Source organism: Homo sapiens, chromosome 11, assembly GCF_000001405.40.
Source record: "Homo sapiens chromosome 11, GRCh38.p14 Primary Assembly".
NCBI classification, from domain to species: domain Eukaryota; kingdom Metazoa; phylum Chordata; class Mammalia; order Primates; family Hominidae; genus Homo; species Homo sapiens.
Window position 1 is genome coordinate 83,326,436 of NC_000011.10, and position 24,095 is coordinate 83,350,530.

Here is a 24,095-nt window from a genome sequence, read left to right on the forward strand (position 1 = left end):
GCCTGCACCTTGGCCCAGGTGGCAGCAGCCAGCCATGGCAGTGATGCAGGTGGGGAATGTCAGTGGAGCTCCAGGAATGTGGTGATGCAGGTGCTGTTGAGCCTCAGGGCAGTGTGTGGTCTGTTGGTGGTTGGGCTCTCAAAATGGCACCATGTTATAGCTGTTTATGACTCAAGGTGTGTGGGGGGCTAAGCATGAGCTCCCACTCTGGAGCAGTGCCTTTGTGTGCTCCCCAGGCAGCTCTCTATGTCAGTTTCAGGCCCACAAAGGTTAAGAGCTTCTCCTGTGACTAGGATTGTGGTAGTCCACAGTGGAAATGTGGACCACTGCGGTGGTCTCTCAGTTACCCTTTCCCCACACTGGGGAGTCTCTCCAGGCTTCCAGCCAGTCTTGCCTGAGCAGGCTACCTCACTTCCCTTTCTGCCTTGCTTTAGGTATTTCCTGTCACGTCTCAATTGAATTCCAGTTTTCTCTCTTGGACAATCTATTTGAAGTGTGATTATCTACTCACTATTTTGGTTCTTTCTGAGGAGGCTGAGTACAATATGCCTCAAGTCAGCTGTCTTGAAGCCCCTCTTGGGCTTTGTCTTTTGAACTGAGGGTAAAAAGATGAATAAAGACAAAAACATAATCCTTTAACAAGATCATATATTAATAGTGATGACAACCATGTAAATATATTTTAATGTCCATATGAAATGTGATCAATAGAAGTGTAAGCCAAATACTAAAGAAACTCAGAAAAAAGAGAATGTAAGTCTGTATTGTAGGAAGTGTGTGTGGAAGGTGGGAAAGGCCAGGGAAGAAGGAAAATTTGGAATGTGATGATGGAAGAATGAACATTTTCCATATAAGCAAGACATTACTAGTAGAGGGAGCAGCACTTGAATTGTCACAGGGCGTTTGGAGCCTGCAAGTAGCTGTCTAGGTTTGGGGTAAACAAGATGCAGTGGTGAGAGATGAAGCTGGATAAGTGATCAGGGGCAAGATCAAGAAAAGCCTTGTGGGCCATACCTTATGGAAGTTAAATTTTATTTAGTAAACAATGGAGGATAACTGAAGCATTTTCAGAGAGAAATGAATTTAATGGTTTTGAAATTTAACAGGAGGGTGAGACTCGAGGCAGGAAGAACTGTTAGGGGGCTATTTTAACAATTCAGGTAAGAGACAATGGTTTGTCAGTAGGCATGGGGAAGAAAAGGAAGGAATCAAGTCTAGAAATATTTGGGAATTCATATTTTCAGTACTTGGGTATGCAGGGTGAGGGAGGAGAAAGGATCTAGAAGATTCTATGTATTTTACTTGGGCATTTGGGTACACGGTACTGCCATTTACTGAGATTTGGAAAATGGAAAATGTGATGGTTAATTTCATGTATCAACTTGGCTAGGCTATCATATCCAGTTGTTTGGTCAAACACCCATCTGGATGTTGCTGTGAAGGTATTTTTTAGATGTGATTAATATTTAAATCAGTAGACTGTGAGTAAAACAGATTACCCTCCATAATGGGAGTGGGCCTCATCTAATCAGTTGCAGGCCTTAAGAGAAGACAGAGGTCCCACAAGGCAGAAGAAATTCTGCCCCCACACTGCCTTCAGATTCAAGATTATGAAATCAACTCTTCCTTCAGTCTCCAGCCTGCTGGCCTGTCTTGGACATATCAGACCTGCCACTTCCCACAATTATGTGAGCCAGTTCCTTAAAATGAATCTCTCTATGTACACATCCTATTGGTTCTGTTTCTCTGGAGAATCTTGACTAATGCAGGAGGATTTCTTTTTGTTCAGGTTTGTAGTTGACAATTGCTTTGCTAAACACAAATGTGCCCGAAGGACATTATGTTAAGTGAAGTAAATCAAGTGCGGAAAGATAAATGCCACATCTTCTCCTTCATATGTGGGTGATAGGGTTTGGCTTGTCCCCACTCAAATCTCATCTTGAAGTATAATCCCCATGATCCCCACGTGTCAAGGAAGGGACCCAGTGTGAGGTGACTGGATCATGGGGGCAGTTTCCCCCCGCTGTTCTCATGATAGTGAGTTCTTATGAGATCTGATGGTTTTATAAATGGTTGACAGTTCTTCCTTCACATGCCCTGTCTCTCTCTCCTGCTGCCTTGTGAAGAAGGTTCCTCCTTCCCCTTCCGCCATGATTGTAAGTTTCCTGAGGCTTCCCCAGCCATGTGGACGTGTGAGTCAATTAAACCTCTTTCCTTTATAAATTACCCAGTTTCAGGAAGTTCTTTATAGCAGTGTGAAAATGGACTAATACAGTGGGAGCAAAAAAAAAAAAAAAAAAAAAAAAGAGGGAGAGACACCCCGTAGAAGTAAAGAGTAGAATTGTGGTTGTGAGAGCATAAGAAGTGTTGGGGGAAGAAGGATGAGTAAAGGTAGGTTAATGGATACAAAAAGTAGAGCTAGAGAGAGTGTGATGTCCAGCTTCCAAATGGGAACCTTTGTAGCACCAGTGACAAAAAAGAGAATTAAATATAGGTGATGCTGAGAAAGGCAAGAAGACTTTTGTTGAGGAGTGTGTCCAGTGCCACACCATGGAAAAGGGAGGCTAGCACAAGACTGCGTCAAATCTTCACGGTATCTTTGGGCAGAAGACAGATCAGGATGCTGGATTCTCTTACACAGATGCCAATAAGAATAAAGGTACCACCTAGGGAGAGGATGATGTACTCACTGATGGAGTATTTGGAGAATCCCAAGAAGTATATCCCTGGAACAAAAATGAGCTTCACCAGCATTAAGAAGAAAGGCAGAAAGGGTAGGCTTGATAGCTTATCTCAAAAAAGCTGCTATGGAGTAAGAATTGGCCACTGCCTTATTTATTACAAAACAGAAATGTCTCATAACTTTTTTATGTATATTATAAGTTAATAGATTTCATAAACCAGAATTCAGATCATAAATGACAGAATATTTTTTGATGAGCAGTCCTGGTTTAACTAAAACTGACTTGTGGTTAAATGAATATGCTTGCCTTTTTAAATTGTAAAAGTAGTTCTGATTCAGTAAATGCTATCACGGTTTTCCACTTCTAAAGAGAGGATTGAACTTCGCTGGTAATGTTCAAATGTTCACAAAGATGGTGAATGCCATCTTAAAAATCTATTGGAAATTGGTTTTATATTTAGATTTATGTAACTGGTTATACGAATATATTTAAATACTGGGGAAATTCCTTCCCTATCTCGGAACCAAGCAAGATTCATCTGTGCTTTGTGTTCATTTGCCTCTTAAAGGCAAGGGCTGAAGATGAGATAGCAATGTCTACTTTACATTTTTGGTCTTAACTGTGCCAGTCTAATTAGAATTCCCTGTATCTAAAATGGTTTCTGTTACTCATTGAAAGGCATTTTAGTGTGGTTTATGTGTAATATCAAATAAAGAATATTTAACACTTAAAAAATTACACCTAGATAGGAGAAGTAAGTTCTAGTGTTTTGCAGCACAGTACAGGGTGACTATGGTTAACAATTTAGGGCATACTTTCAAAAAGCTGGAAGAGAGGATTTTGAATGTTCACAACACAAAGACATGATAAATGCTTGAGGTGATAAATATGCTAATTACCCTGATTTGTTCATTACACATTTATTGAAATATCACTCTGTGTCCCATAAATATGTATAATTATCCTGTGCCAATTAAAAATAAAAGAAAAAAAGAAATGGTTTGCTGAAGCAAATGCTGAGGATTTTTAAAAGAGAAAATAAGTGTTTATTTTTGTTGTTTATGCCAGGGCGTGTTGTGGTTCGATCAATGTTGTTTATTTATTCCTTTGAATTGTTGGACAATGTCACTTCTAGGCTTCTGTTGTTGTATATTAGAGAATGTGGACTATCCAAATGTATAATTCTCACTAGTAATGAAATCCACCATACACTGGAACTTACTATTATTTTATTGAAGCTAGAGTTGTTGGCTGGTTTCTTTGGAATTTATGCAGATGATTTGTACTTGTAAGGAAGTACTAGAAATGCTTCTCAGAAATACGCAGCACTTGAGTTCAATACTAGCACTTTAATTTCATCTATGGAAAGAGAAGTGTGTACTTTACTGAGTCATAGGAGGTAGTAGGATGGATGAGATTCTCCTACAAAACTACAACTGGAGAGGTCTGGAACAAGGAGAACTTTGCATTATTTCTTGAAGCTTTGCTATTTCTTTATTCACTTCGTTTCCTGAAGAGCAAAGCTTTGGAATCAAACAAATATTGGTCCTCCACCAACTGTGTTTGTGCCTTTGGGCAGGTAAATTCATTTCTCTGGGCCTCAGTTAGGGTTTTTCAAAGATTCATTAAGATGTTATTTATAAAGTGCCCTGTCCAGGGCCTGGTGCAGAGTTGGCTCTCAAGTAATGGAAGCTATTTTTATTATTCTTTAAATTTATTTGTTTCCTTATAGGCTTTCAAATTCCGGATCTCCTAGGATAGTTACATACGCGCTATCTGTTGGAACTTGTAGAATTTTCTCCTGTCCGAAGTGGAGTTGCAGATTCTCAACCCCTGAATTTTCTCAAGAATGAAGGGAACTGACAGGAAGTAGATATGATATCTTCATGAATAAATGATTCTAGGTGAGGAATAAACCTTGTTTTATGAGGAACAAAACTATACCAGCAAGCATATCTCCCCCATTTCTTCTTTACCCAGTCAGCTCTATTCATTCTCCAAACCCAGGTCACTATCGTCTTCTAAAGGTCTTTATTGTCCTCACCAGCCCTTCCCTGAATTTCAGTGCCATCCTCAGTACTCCTAAGAGACATCTCCAGGGATCAGCGTCATGTTGTATTTTATGACTGGTGGCCCTGGAGTTATTCTATAGGTGGTCCTTCTTGACAAGGGAAGGTGGCTTTACATGAATTAAAACCATCTGTTCTCATCTTTGTATTCCTGTCTAATGGGGAGCTCTTTAAATGGAAAGGAATACATTCAATTTTTTATCCCCTAGTGCTTAACACAGTGCCTGGAACATTGTCTATGGAAAACATGAGTGATGGATGAATGAATGAAAATCTGCAGTAAGATACATTCAGGACTATGTAATAAATATTCTTTTTCATCATTCACTGTTCTCTATCATGTCTGCATCTCCTCCAATTACTGCTGACGGCACGGCAATCTAAATGTAAAATTTATCTGAGAGTTCTGCAAGTCCATCCCCAGGCTCTGCCCATCACAGTCAGATTCAATAAGGCAACTTTCTGTGTGCATAAGTAGGATGAGGTAGGGGGGCAGTGAGTAGAAATGTGATTAGTTTTTAATGAGGCTAATCGTTCTGAATATGAAGTTGGTTTGCATTCTCATTAGCAATTTTCATAAATTGTTTGAAATGCTTGCCCATAAAGTCAGGATTGCAAACTTACAGATGAATCACTTCTACCTTGGCTTCCTGTTGAGTGGAGATTATTAATTGCGTCCTTTCTCATCAGAGCTCCCCACACAACTGCAGCCTTTATTTTTAGAACACTATCTCTTGCCAGCTCCTATCTGAACCAATTCTGCTTTAGTCTAATCAGGGAATATGAAGTTAAATCTAGGGCAAAGAGAAGGGAAAACCTAGAAAACTGAGTCAAGAGTCCTGTTGGATACAGTTTCAAAACTCCAACTTTGGAAAGAAGTCATTGTAGGAGATCTACAGCAGCCTTCTGGTTATAGAACCCATAACTCCTTCTCATACCCCACTGGCTCTTCCTGGCCACAAGTAGGAACCCTACCTGCAGAAGCTTTAGCAAGCATTTGTGCCAGTGTACTGCCAAAGTGCCACCCACTCTATCACCTTTAAACCTTGGGCCCCTACCCACCCAGAGAGGAGCCACCATTCAGAATCTGTCTTTATGATTCCTTTAGTTTTAGTTACTGATAAAACGTATGCATTCCTAAGCAGTATCATGCTAAGTTTGTTAGAATCTAAACTTAATGCAACATGCATCATGCTGAATGTTTTTTCCTGTGACTTGCTTTCTTTCATTCAACCTGCTTTTGAGATTCATTCATGTTGATATATGTAATTGTAAATCATTCATTGTCTTGGCTAGTGGAATCCCACTGTTCGGTTATACAGGCCCTCAAGTCTTTTTTTTTTTTTTTTGAGATGGAGTCTTGCCCTGTTGCCAGGCTGGAGTGCAGTGGCACGATCTCAGCTTACTGCAACCTCCGCCTCCCAGGTTCAAGCGATGCTCCTGCCTCAGCCTCCCGAGTAGCTGGGACTACAGGTACATACCACCATGCCCAGCCAATTTTTGCATTGTTAGTAGAGAAGAGGTTTCACAAAGTTGGCCAGGATGGTCTCGATCTCCTGACCTCGTGATCTGTCCGCCTCGGCCTCCCAAAGTGCTGGGACTGTAGGCATGAGCCACCGCACCTGTCCATAGCCCTCAAGTCTTTAGTCCAAATTCCTGGGGCCAGATGTGTTTGCAAATACAGACTTTTTGCTTTTTTCCATAAAGGTAATAGGATATTTATTCCATCAATAACATGGCACTCCCAGTAGGGTCTGGAGAAGCATTTTCTGATTAAACACATGAATATTTCTCCTTAAAATATAGAAAATATTCACACTAAATGGAATAATAAAGACACTAAATAACCTCATGTTAGTTCATGTTGGGCTTTGCTGCCAAATGAGTTATAAAATCACTTTTAGCTTTCAGAGTTTAGGAACTGTGGGCCTATTTAATGATTATTTTTTCTATTCTGTCTTTGATGGAGATATTTGGTTGACTTCCAGTTTTTCATTATTACAAGTAATGTTACTAAAACCATCCATATATGGCTGCCTCCCTCTAGGAGACTCTTTGAAGACAGGGACTGGGTCTTATTCAGCTTGGTATCTTCATGGCCTAGCACCCAGCCTCAGTAAATATGTTTTGAATGAATTAATAATAGACACTTTTCCCTTCTTGAAAATTATGGAGCTCTATTTCAACCACAAAAATTAGTCTGAAGATAGAAGCTCAATTCACCTATACCTTTAAAAAACTACCACAATAAATCACATAAACAAAATCCCCAAGCAACTCTAGTGGAAATTACCTCTATTGTTCATTAGACAGATTACCCTCAGGTGTCTCTCTGTTAAAACAGTGAGGCCTTTCAAAGGACATTCTATTACTTTTTAAGTATAATATTAGTATAAATTAGGTACTGCCAACTCCCCTCCATACTCACCTTGGCTTCAGGGGCTATTTGAAGAGTCAAATACAAGACCAAGAGATGGGGAAGTGGGGAAGTAGCCTCTGAATTTATTGGACAAAATCCTACACTCCATCAATCACAGTCTCTACCTGTGATTCAGATGGCTCAAGAGCCCTTGCTGGATGCAGTTCCATTCCCACTCAGAGACCCAGTGAAGGAGACCAGCTACAAAAGCAAATGTCACATGGTCTTAGCTTTAGGGATAGGCATGGCATACCCTTTCTCATCCCTGGACACAGGCTTATTTTTCTCTTTGCAGGATTTGTTCTTAACATTTTTGCCTAAAGATTAAGAATATCTATCAATCTCTAAATAGAACATTGCCACCACTTTAAGGGTTTTTTAAAAAATAATTATACTAAGTCAAAAGAAAATGATAATGTCTGGGGCTGTAGCGAACTGGATGTTTCAAGTCGCTGAGAAGGTTGCATCACCATTCATTGGACATCATTTCATTCAACAAACACCCTGTATATTAAGGCTTTGCTGGTGCTGAAGATGTTAAAGGCAATTGGGACAAAGTCCCTGTTACAGTTAATTTTATGCGTCAACTTTTCTGGACCACAGTGCCCAGATGTTTGGTCAAACATTATTCTGGTTCTCTGAGAGTGTTTTTTGATGAGACTTACATTTACATCAGTGGACTTTGAGTAAAGTAGATTGTCCTCCATGATGTGGGTGAACACTATCCAATCAATTGAAAGCCTGACTAGAACAAAAGGCTGACCTCTCTAGTGAGAGGGTGTTCTGCCAGCGATGGCCTTTGGATTTGAGCTGCAACTCTTTTCTGAATCTCCAGCTTTCCAGCCTCCCACATCAGATATTGGACTCACTAAGCCTCTACAACTGTGTGAGCCAGTTCCTAAAGTGAATCACTGTACACACACACATTTATATATGTGTGTGTATGTATATACACACACACATTTATATATGTGTGTGTGTAACACATTTTGTTGGTTCTGTTTCTCTGGAGACTCTAATACGGTTCCTTTTCTCAAGTACCTCAGTGTCTCTTAAAACAGACATGCAAACAAGCCATTTTAATCCAGTGTGAAGACTGCTCTAAGGGTCATCTGTACAGGAGGAAGTGGCACAAAATAGAAATTCGGAGTGTGGCAATGGAAGAACATGCTCAGAAGTTAAGAAAAAGCAACAATATGCCTGTATGCACCAGTGGACAGGCTCTCCTTAGGAACAAGGACTGGAATGGGCCTCATTCTGCACTAGAATCCAGTGCAGAAAACAAGGCAAACAAACACTGAGGCAACACTCATATCAAACCCAGATGAAACTGGCCTGCTTTAGAGAATTTGAGAGCTGGAGGGAGCTTCAAGTACAGGAGTAGGCTTCTTGTAAACATCCATGACTAGGATAGCCTTCTCTAGGTGGCACTCCAGGGCTTAATCTCATTTTGAATATTTGTTAAAAAGCACCGACATTTAGTACACTTTCTCATTGTCTTGAATCCACTGGTGCTTGAAAGCAAGGGTTTATTCTTATAGCTATGATTACGTAATATAAATAAATGGGCTTAAAAAAGCAAGAACCAGTAGTCCATTAAGATACAGAGTCAGTAGAGAATTCTGCCCCATTTTCTGCAAGAAGTTTTGGAGAAAAACTAAAAATAGACACTGAGAATGAAATGATAGAAATGTGAATCAAAAAGTCACACCTCTAGGCTAGAGACTGATTCGGATTGGAAGAAGATACCCTTAACCTAATTGTGATGCAGTAACTGTAATTAGGTTAAGGGAAATGTAGAGTGTTAACATTTCAACCGCACCTAGATCTATATCAGTTTTCCAAATGGAGATGTTGGGTAGAGAGTGGGCATTGCTTTGAGAGTCTTATCCATCATAAGGATAGGTGACAGCATGGTGTGGAGGCTGGAAGGAGTATTTGTCTTAGTTTGGACCCTTTTGAGCTCCTTTCCCACCACTCAGGTGCCTGTTAGCTCCCCCAAATCCTCATATTTACCTCCTGTCCAAGGGCTCTCCCTGTGCTGAGCTCTTTGTCTTGCTTGGCTTTCATCCATGGCCTACGGCAACAGTTGCCCATCAACTCCAGCAACACTCCTAGAAACCTGTCTCAGATCCAATACCTACACTCTGACAGAAGCAATTTTTAATGACATTTCAAAGTAAATCGAATGGAGCTTGTAACAGCAACATTACATTATTATACCTTGTGTAGTCATGTTTTCAGAGCCTGTGGTATATGGAAAGGCCTTTGCTTGGTAAACTACATCCAATCAAAAATGTCAAGATGTCAAAAAGAAAATTCAATTTGCCTTCAACATTCAGTGAAAATGGCATCTATCATGCCTACAACACATGTATGGAAGTTCAAACTGCACAGAGTTTACGCTGATCTCAGAGTGTCCACATATGTGTGTATGTGTGCATGTGTGTGTTGGTGAGGTCGAAAATAACTCTGGTATGTCACCACCAACCTCTTCTCATCAAGGCATCATATGTTAGGATAAAGTATTGGCAACACAGTACGAGTTTGTTTTATCTATGTGACAATTAAGACTTGATGACAGAGAGTTTTGCAACTAACTGGCTGTTTGCTCTTACGTCACTTAATCTCTTGGAGCTTCCAGGTCCTCATCTTTAAAGTGGGATACAGGAATTGCCTACCTCACATGGTTTTTGCGGGGATGAAAAAGATAACGCTTGTGACAGTGCCTAGTCTAGCATTCAAAGATCATCATAATTGGGTCATTGATGCCCTCATCTTGTCTTGTGCTCTTCCCCTAAGCAACCCCTTTGCTCCATCCAAGCTGGTGGGCCATAACACCTCCCACCTGCCATGCTGTTGCTCACTTTGTTTTCTCTTCCTAGGATGCTCTTGTTTTTTCTGAATGTACGAGGAATATGAACATTTCCAAACCCAGCTTGAATCTATAGTCTTCATGAAGCCTTCTTGAACTATGTTAACTTTGATGATTGCTCTTCTTTTGAACTCATATGAACTTCTGTAAAACCTTAAGTACTTAAGTATTTAACACAAGCCTCTTGGACTGCTTCACATTTTATGTGTGTGACAAAGATGATAATATTTTCAAAGTAACTCCTGTTGCATTTTTACCTGTTATGAATTCTGTTTCTTTTCCCCTAGTGTTTTCTCTAATAGGACTAGACTAAGAGGTTGAAACGAGGGGAGAAGGCTATAACATAACATGAGGAGTGTCCCTTCTGGGAGGTAAGAGGAAATTTGGAAGACCTTCTGGTACTGGGTGGAAGAGGTGAGAGAGAAGAAGGGAGGCAAAGTTCAGATGCAAGTCACCTTCTATATAGTGTCCTCCAGTTTCTCTTTAAGATAAACTTGTGTGAGTGTGGCCAGCAGAAGTGATGCTGAGGCAGAGGGCAGAGCAGGCCATCCATACTGGCAACCTCAACACGGCTGCAGAGGCCTCAGAGGTCCAGTAGTTCCAATGAGAGCCAGGGTGGGGCTAACCCAGTGAGCAAGACATCAGTCTTCAATGTCAATGGGAGAAAGGCCCATATGGAGCATAGAGAAAGAACAGGGCTCACAAACATGCTAAGGAAAGGGCTGGATATCTCAGAGTAAATATTTGCTGAGGGAGTTCTATTTGAATATCCTTTTCTAGAGCTTCAGGTGAAATAACAGTGATCAACATAAAATAATCTCCAATGGTTGAGTTTCAGCTCTCACAAGTCTTGGGCCTTGGGTGTGTGTGGTTTTACACAGTGCTCCTTAAATTTTCTCCCCACAGGCTCACCTGAATATGGTGACCTAGAAGTCTCTGTTAAACCAGTGAATATTTCTGAACACTCATCCAGGAGATTTTCTATTTGACAGGCTTCATTTATGTGAATAGCTGTGCCATGCTAAAGAATTGAAGGATGATAAAGAATACTGTTGGGAAAAATATTCACAAACTATGCATCTGACAAAGGTCTAATATCCAGAATCTGATAGGAACTTAAACAAATCAACAAGCAAAAACCAAACAACCCCATTAAAAAAAGACATTAACAGCCATTTCTCAAAAGACAGTCAAGCAGCCAAATAAACATATGAAAAGATGGCAACATCACTAATCATCAGAGACATGCAAATCAAAACCACAATGAGATACCATCTCACACCAGCCAGAATGACTATTACTAAGAAGTCAAAAAAATAACAGATGCTGGTAAGGCTATGGAGAAAAGAGAATACGTATACACTGTTGGTGGGAATGCAAACTAGTTCAGCCACTGTGGAAAGCAGTTTGGAGATTTCTCAAAGAACTAAAACAGAACAACCATTCAACTACTGTGCACTAGTATGCAGCTCCAGGGCCACATGATAACTTCTGGATCCCCTTGGGAACAGATCACAGGGAACTAAGGCTCATCTATTAGGTACCTCCATCTGCCATTCTATCCTACTACCTCTGCAGTGTCACTATTGAGTATCTGCCCAAAGGAAAATAATTCATTCTATCGAAAAGACACATGCACTCATATGTTCATTGCAGCACTATTCATGATAGCGAAGACGTAGAACCAATCTAGGTGCTCATCAACAATGAATTAGATAAGGAAATATTGTACATATACACCATGGAATACTATGCAGCCACAGAAGAGAACAGAATCATTTCCTTTGCAGCAACATGGATGGAGCTGGAGGATGTTATCCTAAGTGAATTAATGCAAGAGCACATGTTCTCACTTACAAATGGGAGCTAAACATTGAATACACATAGACATAAAGATGGGAACAATAGACACTGGGGACTTCTAGACTGGGGAGGGAGGGAGGAAGGAGTGGGCTGAAAAACCACCTATTGGGTGCTATGGTCACTACCTGGGTGACAGAATCATTTTTACCCCAAACCTCAGCATCATGCAATATATCCATGTAACAAACCTGGATATATTTAAATATTTAAATTATTTAGCAAAAACAAGTTAAAAAAAGAATACTGTTGGGGCTCAGACTATGATATCCCAAAGTATGGCACGTCGGCTTACTGAGTATTTTAAACTGAAGGGAATTGAGAAAACTGCAGAAACACAAAGGTCACTCTATGACCTTCTCCTACCTTTCTCCCCTGAAAACCCTCATGTAACAGGTGTCTCTCCTATACTCAGAGGAAAGAAATGTCGCACAGAGACTCCAAGAAGAATCTGAACAAACTGGCCTTGCTAAGTTTCCCGTAGTTTATTAGTATTAGATTCTCTTTAAGTTTCCCTTTATTCTCCAATTGTACTTTTGCCCAACTGTCCATAAAAATAGTTTTCCCTGGGTTGTTGGTTCCTTGTCACTTAAAACTTTCACTAAACAATTTTGTTATCCTTTTCTCTTGTTAATCTGTCTTTGTTATAGGGGTGTCAGCAATGAACCTTGTGATGGGTGAGGAAGAGATACTACTTTTTCTCCCCTGTGATGTCAACCTTTGAAAATCCTGGTTGGTGGCAGGGGTGGGGGAGAATGTGTAAGAAATGAAACTGACATTCTTTGGATGAGTTTTTTTAAGCATAAGAATACTATAAAATTATGTTCTGAATAGCTCATTTATTTTGTAGGTGCTCCACTCTGATGATAAGGAAGCTCTAGTGCTGAGGACACTTAGCGATTTCATGAAATGGCTGTAACAGTAGTAAAGTGATATGGGACTTACTTTCATAAACACAGAGGGCAGAGAAGGAAGGATCTGGAAACCTGGGGGAAGAGGGGTAAAAATGAAAAGAATGGAGACCATAGAGAGGCTCCTCCTAATATTTATGTTGTGGGGCAGATTCTGATATCATTTTTTTTCTGATATAATTTGATCTTTTTCTTCTACTTCCATTCTTAATCAACTCTCATATCATTCCCCCCATACCTCTATTTTTAGGTTTGTATCTACTCTTAATTTTTGTATTTCTGGATCACGGTGTTTTCCATATCCCCAAATACTTGTTTGAGTATATTTCATACAGCTTAGAGTTTTGTGTTACGGGTTTCTTCAGTTTTATAGTTGGTTTTTGGAGAAAGTTTTCAACACAGTAATGCTTTGACTTGTGTTTTGTGATTTTTTAAATAGTTTTATGTGGTTGTGGTTTGCTTTCTATCTATGCCAAATCATTTCATGAACAGCGATCCTAGTTTGAGAACATTCTCTTACGTCTTATGTCAATTATGCCTTCTATGCAGTTTCTTTTGTGGAAAAGGGAAGGATTGGTAGGTCTTATTTCTCTTTTGTTTCTGTAGTATCCTTAATTTTTTCCTTTTATTTCCTTACCTACTTCTTATTGTCTTGTATTCAACTAATACTACCATTTTTCTTTGTACCTGCTGCTCCCCACAAAGTAACCATCTTGGGGCTGCCTCATCTGGTTTCACACTTTTTTTTAACTTTTATTTTAGGTGTGGGGGCACATGTGAAGGTTTTTTACATAGGTAAACATGTCCCTGGGGTTTATTGTACGTATTATTTCATCACCCAGGTATTAAGCCCACTACCCAATACTTATCTTTTCTGCTTCTCTCCCTCCTCCCATTCTCCCCCCTCCTCCTCAACTAGACCCCAGTGTCTATTGTTTCCTTCTTTGGGTTTTACACATTTTCAAGCCCCTTCCCTATAATTAGTGCCATAAGCTATCAAGGCCCAGCCTATATTCAGTATTTTGCCATTTGTTGTTGGACTGGCACTTTCTGGAAGTGCTTCTGTCTACATGTTATCCAAGTTCTTTGCTCCTCTCTATTCTTTTTCATGAAATCTCTTAAACCTCTCCCTCTTCACTCCTTGCCCTCACAGGTTTTCAATGGCAGAAGAACCACGGTAGTCCATTATAATTTTATTCCCCTTTACTTACAGATAACTTGAAGGTCATGATGTTCTGTTTTCTAGTTATGCTGACGACTCAAATCAGGTATGGTTTTATTCATTCTCATTGTCAATTTTGTTTTTTTGAGGGGCGGAGTGGGATTGGGAAGAGTGTAGGGGAGATTCAAATCAGACGGCTGCCATTGTTCTCCAAACCCAGAATATCCTGGGCAGAAGACTGCTCTGATTGAAAGCTAATTCAAAGAGAGTTATATATAAATATGTTCCCCAAGATCTGAGCTCCAAGTGTATGCCTGATTGGCCCTCAGTTCATTCCAGTGGTGAACTGAGTTCTGCTGTTTCAAGATGAAATGTTAGGTTTTTGTTTTCAAATGCTATACATTTCCCCTGTTCCACTTCTACCAAGCAAATAGTTCCCCCACTTGGCATTTATTTTCCTTTATCTTCTTTTAGGTGTGCCCTTGTTGAGCTCTCTTCAGATCCTTCCTTCCTAACTTCCTTCCTAAAACAATACAGTTGTCAAAAGCAGGTCATGATCTTTGTTCCTTCACTGATCTGATGCCAACCTTGAGGCTCGTGGACCCTACATCCTCACTGAAGACTGTTTGATGGCTGGGGTTTCTTTCTTTTTTTTTTTTTTTTTTTTTGAGACAGAGTCTCACTCTGTCACCCAGGCTGGAGTGCAGTGGCACCATCTCGGCTCACTGCAAGCTCTGCCTCCTGGGTTCACACCATTCTCCTCACTCAGCCTCCCAAGTAGCTGGGGCTACAGGTACCCACCACCATGCCTGGCTAATTTTTTGTATTTTTAGTAGAGATGGGGTTTCACTGTGTTAGCCAGGATGGTCTCGATCTCCTGACCTCGTGATCCACCCGCCTCGGCCTCCCAAAGTGCTGAGATTACAGGCGTGAGCCACCGTGCCTGGCCAATGGCTGGGGTTTCTTAATTAATGAATTATCACACTGATACAGAAACTTAAACTTACAGACTTGATTTGTGTTTAATTAATATAGACTTATTTGTTTGTCTGACCTGGAAATGCATTTTGTACATTTTTGACATATTCCCAAGGCCAAAGACAAGAGAAATGTAAAAATAATAATTTAGAATGAACAGCTTCCGATCACTGCAAACATAAATGATGGCTCTTGGCATTATTATTTACATTTCAATACAACCATTGCTGTAGGATACCCAGCACAATTAAGCCTCTAGGGACACATTCAACCAGCGCACACTTTTTGCATCAGAAAAATCGAATCAATATACAGTGAGTTTCTGTATTAACATGAAATTTAGGAGGCATTTATGCTAAGCTCAAAAATCTAATTAGTAGTTTCCTGTTTAGAGGATAGTGCCTGCTTATTACATTTTCAGTTCATCTGGATCTGTAATCAGTTCTCAGGCTTGTTTTCCATTCAAATGGTAACAGTTTACCTTTCATCCCCAACTCTCCACATAAGGACTCAGGAACCAAATGTACCAGAAACAAATGGCACTGAGGATTCAAAATGAGGACTTTAATTAAAATGCTTAGGTCCCTACTTTCACGTGCGTCTGTGTGAAGAGACCACCAAACAGGCTTTGAGCAACAAGGCTTGTTTATTTCACCTGGGTGCAGGTGGGCTGAGTCCGAAAAAAGTCAGCGAAGGGAGACAGGGGTGGGGCCATTTTATAGGATTTGGGTAGGTAAAGGAAAATTACAGTCAAAGGGGGGTTGTTCTCTGGCGGGCAGGTGTGGGGGTCACAAGGTGCTCAGTAGGGGAGCTTGTGAGCCAGGATGAGCCAGGAGAAGGAATTTCACAAGATAATGTCATCAGTTAAGGCAGGAGCAGGCCATTTTCACTTCTTTTGTGGTGGAATGTCATCAGTTAAAGCAGGAACTGGCCATCTGGATGTGTACGTGCAGGTCACAGGGGATATGATGGCTTAGCTTGGGCTCAGAGGCCTGACATTCCTGTCTTCTTATATTAATAAGAAAAATAAAATGAAATAGTGGTAAAATGTTGGGACGGCGAAAATTTTGGGGGGGAGTATGGAGAGATAATGGGCAATGTTTCTCAGGGCTGCTTCGAGCGGGATTAGGGGCAGCGTGGGAACCTAGAGTGGGAGAGATTAAGCTGAAGGAAGATTTTGTGGTAAGGGGTGATATTGTGGGGTTGTTAGAAGAAACATTTGTCATTTAGAATTATTGGTGACGGCCTGGATACGGTTTTGTATGAATTGAAAAACTAAGTGGAATAAGAGAAGGAGAAAAACAGGTATTAAAGGTCTAACAATTGGGAGGACCCAGGACATCTAATTAGAGAGTGCCTAAGGAGATTCAGCATAGTCCTGCCAGCAAAGATTATTTGTTTACTTTAAGAGTTAAGAGTGGCAGTTTGGGGATAGCACCAGGAGATATCAGCTGTGATGGCTTGGAGAAACAGCGTAAACCGGCAGTGTAAACAAGAGCAGGGCATGTATGAGTAGTTGAGAACAGCGAATAGGAGTATGACTAGACAGAAGATAGTAGGGATGACAAGTTATTTGGGGCACAGTACAAGTTGGTCTGGTGTCTGGAAAAGGTGGTGTGTAGCCCAGGAATAGTCAGGGAAGCAGATAATTTAGTTAAAGTGTCTCGGCCTAATAAGGGAACTAGGCAGGTGGGGATAACTAAAAAGGAGAGCTTAAAAGAGTATTGTCTAGGTTGGCACCAGAGTTGGGGAGTTTTAAGAGGTTTAGAAGCCTGGCCGTCAGTACCTACAACAGTTATGGAGGCAAGGGAAACAGGCGTTTGAAAAGAAGGTAATGTGGAGTGGGTTGCCTCCGTATTAAGAAGGGGACGGACTTACCTTCCACTGTGAGAGTTACCCAGAGTGTCTGTGATGGTCCTGTAGGCTTCCGAGGCAATCGGGCAGTCTCAGTCTTCAGCTGCTAAGCTGAGAAGATCTGGGAATGAGTCAGTCAGAGACCCTTGGGCCAGGGTTTCAGGGGCTCTGCGAGTGGCTGCCAGGTGAGTTGAACAGTCCGATTTTCAGTGGGATCCCACACAGATGGGACATGGCTTAGGAGGGATCCTGGGCTGTGGGCATTCCTTGGCCCAGTGGCCAGATTTCTGGCACTTGTAGCAAGCTCTTGCAGGAGGAGATTCTGGAGGAACCCCTTGCAGCTGCGGTTCAGGTGTTTGGAAGTTCTTGTGTGCTGGAGATGTGGCTGGAGTTTGTCTCACGGTGGAGGCAAGGAATTGCAACTCAGAAATATGTTGCTACCTGGCTGCCTTTACTCTATTATTGTACACCTTGAAGGTGAGGTTAATTAAGTCCTGTTGTGGGGTTTGAGGGCTGGAATTTAATTTTTGGAGATATATTTAATATTGGGAACAGATTGGGTAATAAAATAAAATGTGTATTGAGAATAAGATGGCCTTTTGACCTTTTAGGGTCTAGGGCTGTAAAGTATCTCAAGGTTGCTGCTAAAGGAGCCATAAACTGGGCTGGGTTTTTTATATTTGATGAAAAAGAGTCTAAACGCTGATTTGGGAGAGGTCGGGTATAGAAAAAGGAGCATTAACCTTGACTACGCCTTTAGCTCCAGCCACCTTTTTAAGAGGAAATTGCTGGGCAGGTGGGGGAGGGCTAGTCGAGGAAGGAAACTGTAAGCTGGACCGCGTGTGAGGAGGGGAGATGATAAAAGGATTATAGGATGGAGGAGCAGAGGCTGAGGAAGAATTGGAACCTAGCTCAGCCTGGCGAGGAGGGGAGAGGTCAGATGGGTCTGTAGAAAAGGAAGATTAGAAAGACTCAGCGACGCTTGGGGTTGGGACCGAGGGGGCAGGTGGGAGGGAAAGAAGGAAGATTTGGGATGAGTTGCATTGGGAACAGAGACTGGGGAGGGACCGATACGTAAAAGAATGCCTGGACATCAGGCACCTCAGACTGTTTGCCTATTTTATGACAAGAATTATCTAGATCTTGTAGGATGGAAAAATCAAAAGTGCCGTTTTCTGGCTATTTAGAGCCATTGTCAAGTTTGTATTGGGGCTAAGCGGTGTTGCAGAAGAAAATAAGATGCTTAGATTTTAGGTCAGGTGAGAGTTGAAGAGGTTTTAAGTTCTTAAGAACACAAGCTAAGGGAGAAGAAGGAGGAATGGAGGGTGAAGATTGCCTATAGTGAAGGAGGCAAGTTTAAAGAAAAGGGTAGAGACACGGAGAAGGGGGTGGGGAGCAGCCCTGGGGTGCAACGTGGGTGAGCAGCCAAAGCAAGCATCCCTGTAATTGACTTGGCACCAAGGAAACGTGGATGAATGATCAAGGCAGGCATCCCTGTGGAGATCAGACACCAATGGAATGTGGGTGAATAATCAGAGAGGCGTCCCCACAATGATTAAACACCAAGGGAAGGCCGCCTTCCCGAGTCCGTGACCGGCACCGGAGTTTTGGGTCCATGGATAAAATGTGTCTCCTTTTTCTCTACCAGAAAAGGAAAGGAATTGAAATTAAGAGAAGGGAGAGATTGAAGTGTGGCGCCAAGATTGAAAGGAGAAAGAGGTTGAGGGACGGAGAAAGAGGTTGAGGGATAGTGAGAGAGGTTGGAGAAGAGAGTAAAAAGAGGCCGCTTACCGGATTTGAAATTAGTGAGATGTTCCTTGGGCTGGTTGGTCTGAGGACCCGAGGTTGTAGGTGGATCTTTCTCATGGAGCAAAGAGCAGGAGGATGGGGGATTGATCTCCCAAGGGAGGTCCCCTGATCTGAGTCGTGGCACCAAATTTCACACGTGTTCGTGTGAAGAGACCACCAAACAGGCTTTGTGTGAGCAATAAAGCTTTTTAATCACCTGGGTGCAGGCAGGCTGAGTCCGAAAAGAGAGTCAGCAAAGGGAGATGGGGTGGGGCCGTTTTATAGGATTTAGGTAGGTAGTGGAAAATTACAGTCAAAGGGTTCTTTGACTGGCAGGGGTGGGGGTCACAAGGTGCTCATTGGGGGAGCTTTTGAGCCAGGATGAGCTAGGAGAAGGAATTTCACAAGGTAATGTCATCAGTTAAGGCAGGAACAGGCCATTTTCACTTCTTTTGTGATTCTTCAGTTACTTCGGGCCATCTGGATGTATATGTGCAGGTCACAGGGGATATGATGGCTTAGTTTGGGCTCAGAGGCCTGGCAATGATCATAGGTGTATTAGTCAGGGTCTCAAAAGGAACTACACCACATATTCATATTATAATTTTGGGAGGGTTTGCAAAGATGAGGGCAGGAGGAGTGAGGGGTACGTTGTAACGGCTGATGGTTAAATTTTCAGAAATTTTTGCAAACAAGTTGTTAAACATTACTAAAACGTAAATTTTTAAAGCAGAATTAAATAAGTTATATTAAAAATAAAGGTAATAAATATTCAAAACATCATTTCCTAATTACTGTTTACCTTCTACTATTATATATGTTCTTGGGGGTATTTAACTTCTATTATATCGCTATGGTAGGAACATTATATAACAGTATGATACTGTGCGTCTTTTCCCAACTTCATGCTCAACAACATGCCATTGATACCTTGAAATCAGCCAAGGTAGGAGTATTTACACCACAGAAATTGTCAAATTCTGCAACTCAGGGCTCCTTCTTCCAATCTTGCCCCCGGCCCCCAAGGAGACCCAGTTATTAGGTTGGTGCAAACGTAATTGAGGTTTTTGCCATTGAAAGTAATGACAAAGTAATATTAAGTAATATTAAAACATTTACCAGCAGGAGCAAGTTTAGGAAATCCACAGGGATCTTGCAATGCTCCAAGGCTGTTAGCACCTCCAGGTCCAAAAAGATGATAAGAGGGAGCAGTTATCAGACTCCGGAAGAAAAAGGTTATGAAGAAAAATCACTTCAACAGGCACTATGACCTCTTGGGTGAAGAAACATCACTAACCAGAAATGACCCTGGAAAAAGAGAACCAGGAGAGTAAATCTGACCTTACTCTCCTCTCTGCTTCTAGGACTTTACTTTCCCACCTCCCCTTCCAAGGTCAAACAAAACAGATGTTAGAGGAAAGAGGAGCTCATACAGTTCAGTTCCTGGAGCAGAGAGAAGGATGGAGAAGGGCTAGAGAGTAGGGCCTGAGGGACAGATGGAAGATATCTAGACTAACAAAGTAGTGCTGTATCTGGCACATAGTAGGAGCTCAGTTAATATTTTCTATTATTATGGTTTAATTCAATAAAAATTTATTAAATATTATGCCAAATACCTTTCTCTCAAGGAGTCCACAGTCCAGTGCAGAGGTGTATAAATAAATAAATTCCACATCAGTGTACAAGGTACTATTATTGTGTAGGAGGCCAAGCCGCAGACAAAACCCCTCAGACACTGAGTTAAAGAAGGAGGGGCTTTATTCAGCTGGGAGCTTTGGCAAGACTCACGTCTCCAACAACCGAGCTCCCTGAGTGAGCAATTCCTGTCCCTTTTAAGGACTCACACCTCTAAGGGGGTCCGTGTGAGAGGGTCGTGATCGGATTGAGCAAGCAGGGGGTACGTGACCGGGGGCTGCATGCACCGGTAATTAGAATGCAACAGAACAGGACAGGGATCTTCACAGTGCTTTTGTTCTGCAAATAACCAATTAGTTCTGGGGTCGATCTTTAACTACCAGGCCCAGGGTGTGGCGTCGGGCTGTCTGCTTGTGGATTTCATTTCTGCCTTTTAGTTTTTACTTCTTCTTTCTTTGGAGGCAGAAATTGGGCATAAGACAATATAAGGGGTGGTCTCCTCCCTTAAATGAAGAAAGATATGTCTGTTTTTCCCATTAGATGACAAATACCTATAAAGTAGAAACTATTAAAATGATCAATGAATATCTGCCTGTCAAATGAATGTATTTTTATTTCCCCTCAGTGCCCAACATTGTTTCTTGTAGAACCTTTAAAAGCTTGCCTTTAAGCTTCAGTAAGCAGGACCAGAGCAGCCTTTAGCCCATGGTAATTTTTCCCTACTACCAGGGCAAAAACCTTCACAGTACTTTGCTCAGTGTCCCATGAATTACAGTATTTTTCACTCAGACTCATGAGAGCTGAAACTATTTCAAGCTCTATGTGATCACCAAGGATTTTTCCCTCTATTCATTCAGTAGTTCTTATCCTGACCTCACTTAGTTTTATTAGTTTTCTTATACACATGTGCTGATCAGTATTCAGCTACAGACCCAAGAGGGATCCTCTCTAGCTCTCTGGACAGGTCTCTCCTCTAGCTTTCTTGTGACCTTCAAACTCTAACCACTTTGGCCTCCCTGGATTTCCCAACTCCATCTCCTCATCTCAGAAAGTATTCTGGTTCTGGCTTGGTTCTTCCTCCCTGCTTTCTGCTTGGAAACACTCTCCAGTCTGGGGCAATCACAAGGCTCATGTTATTTGTGTCCTCTTTCTCAGAGGAATCACTGTTGTACGTTTTCTGAGAAAACCATGTTTCTTATATTTTATCAAGTCCCTGCTACTTCTCTATTCCTGTAGAACAACTTGTACTGTTTATCTGCTTTCAGCCTTAACCAAATGCTGATTCTTCTTTTATCATATTTGACAATGTCTCTAATTTCACACATATCAAGGAGCCCTTGTGAATGGGACTAGTGCCCTTAGAAGAGTGACCCCAGAGTGATCCCTTGACCCTTCTGCCATCTGACAGCCATCCACAAGGAAACAGGTTCTCACCAGAAACCAAACCAGCTGACACCTTTATCTTGAACTACCTACCTCTAGAATTTTGAGAAATAAGTTTCTGCTGTCTACAAGCTACCTAGTCTATTCTATTCTGTTATAGCAGCCCCCAGTAGACTGAGGTCTATTTGGTTCCTAGAGAGGGCTTGCTTTCTGGCTTGTAGACAACTATCCTCTTGTGCTCACAAGAACCAACAACTGGGCATCCAACATAAAACGCCTCCAATACTAGGTTGTGAGTGCCCTGGCTGTGTAAAACTGATCTTTTCCTCTAGCCCTCCCTGTATATTGAGCCTACCAGAAACACAGCTGCATTCATGAAAGGAGGAAAGAAAGGAAGGAGAAGCTTCTTTTGTATGGTTTCTGAGCTGGAGTTAGGATATTAAAAAATGTTAAATTAGATGAGATTGTACAGCTTTGAAATAGAATGGGCAGGGCTTTCTAAAACCAGGGATCAACAAGGAGAGCTTTGGGATATATCTAAACATGAGTTGTTGAAAAAATATTTTATTCTTTACACATCAGGAGTCAGCTTATTTAATAACCTGGCTACATGTGTGCCCCTCCTTATGAAGCAGGAGTGCTGAGATCTGTGGTAGAGTATGGTAACGGGAGCAAAATGTTTAGGGTCAGACCAAACTGTATTCCGCCCAAGCTAGCACTTGATAGATGAGTGGCCTGAAAAAATACTGCATTGTTTTCTTATCTATACCATGGGAATAATAATCATCTCTACTCTATTTAATATGGATATTGTAAGAGTAAAATTTGATAAGATATGAAAGCCAGCATTTAAACTGTATGATCTAAAACTCATAATAAGATTTATACTGATATTCATGGTAACATTATTACACTGCTGAAAATGGGAAACAACCAAAATTGTGTGAAAATAGAAGCATGATTAAATAAACTGTAGCATATCTTACAACTGAATGTTCATTTCTGTACACACCACACACACACACGCAGACTTCCACCTTTTCTCTTCTGAATGCCCATTATGGTATGTATGCATTTGTCCCTTGACACCATTAATGAGTAGGATCACCAGGCAATAGAGAGTCATTCAGTTCCCAGAGAGAGGAGACTTACTGAATAAAATCAAAATATAGTTGCATTAGAGGCCTTTAAGACAGCTCAACTTACTACTGTTGTGTAAAAATGAAATATCTCATGAATCATGGAGACTTGCAACTGCCCCCAAATTCTAATTTTATACGAGCTATTTCTCTTCTAGAAATCATCAAACCATACACGGTGCTGACACTGAAAACATCTGTCTTTGATGTTTCACTTGGCCCGTTTTTTGAGTGTTTCTAAGAAGCAATCTGTCGGGTCAGTTCAGAGGGGTATAAATTCATTTTCTCATGACATAACCAGAAATACTTTCTGCACCGCCAGTCATCACATCCCATTTCTCTGTCACCATCTGTTGCATTGCCTAGCCCAGACTGCTTTCGTACCACAACCCTGTCAGCATTGGGCATACTCGTCAGTGCTATAAATACAGATTCTGATTGTTACTGTTTGGGGGAGAAGTCTACTCATGATAGGAAAGCCACGAAAGTGAGGTCATGGATCAAGCCATTATGAAGTCAGGGGTCTTATCTCCTAGCACTTTAATAGCCAGCAAATGCATCTGTTTCTGTAATCCAGCTAGTGGAGGATTAAGCTGTAAGTGCTGGGGACCCTGACCCTAACAATGTTATCTTTCTCCCAGAGCCTCTGATACCTTTAAAGTAGCCAATCCCAAACCTCACCTGCTTTTGAACTCTACTCATTGTCTTACTGGTAATGGGCTTCCCAGCCCCTCCTTATTTGCTAGTGTGACATTTGTAAAATGTAGTGGTTCACTTCTAGGAAAATGTGAAGAAACACTGTCCATGCTACTCAAAGTAATGTCAAAAATAACTCAAGTCTCTTACTTGCATGTAATTTTTTAAAATCCCCCTTTATTCTCTCCTATCCACTGCCCTCCCCTCTTACACCTGGTCCCTTTTATTTCCTTTAACCCTTCCCCCCAGTTCTTCTGGGCCCCCTCAGGACACACCTTGTTGAATTCTGCTCCCTCTCCCCTCCCTTTCATATTCTTCATAAGAAAGGCCAGAAACTGGTGTGGCAAGTATACCTCTGCTCCAGGACAGGGAAGATAAGTTGGGGGCTTTCCCACTTTAATGGATGCAGCTAATCCCACCAGCACCACAGAGTGATCAGAGCTCTGCTCCAGTGTAGTCAATAGGTAACGACAGCAGCCATTTTGAATAGCAGTCCCTAGTTCAGGAGGAACTATCTAACGAGAATGTTAGCGTTCTCCTTGGAGTTGCTGGTTGAGATCTATGGTCTTAGGTTGCCCATAAAGAGAGACTCCATCTCCCCATCCTTCTCTGGCTGTGATCCAGGAGGGCAGACAAAGGGTT

At 41.5% G+C, this 24,095-nt stretch overlaps 1 long non-coding RNA gene and 1 pseudogene across 1 annotated transcript in view; both read left to right on the top strand.

Annotated features, from left to right (window-relative positions):
* The window catches only part of CCDC90B-AS1 (CCDC90B antisense RNA 1), a 140,270-nt gene that overhangs the window by 40,316 nt on the left and 75,859 nt on the right, over positions 1–24,095 (top strand). The window lies entirely within an intron of this gene.
* Positions 2,423–3,010, top strand: CYCSP28 (CYCS pseudogene 28; annotated as a pseudogene).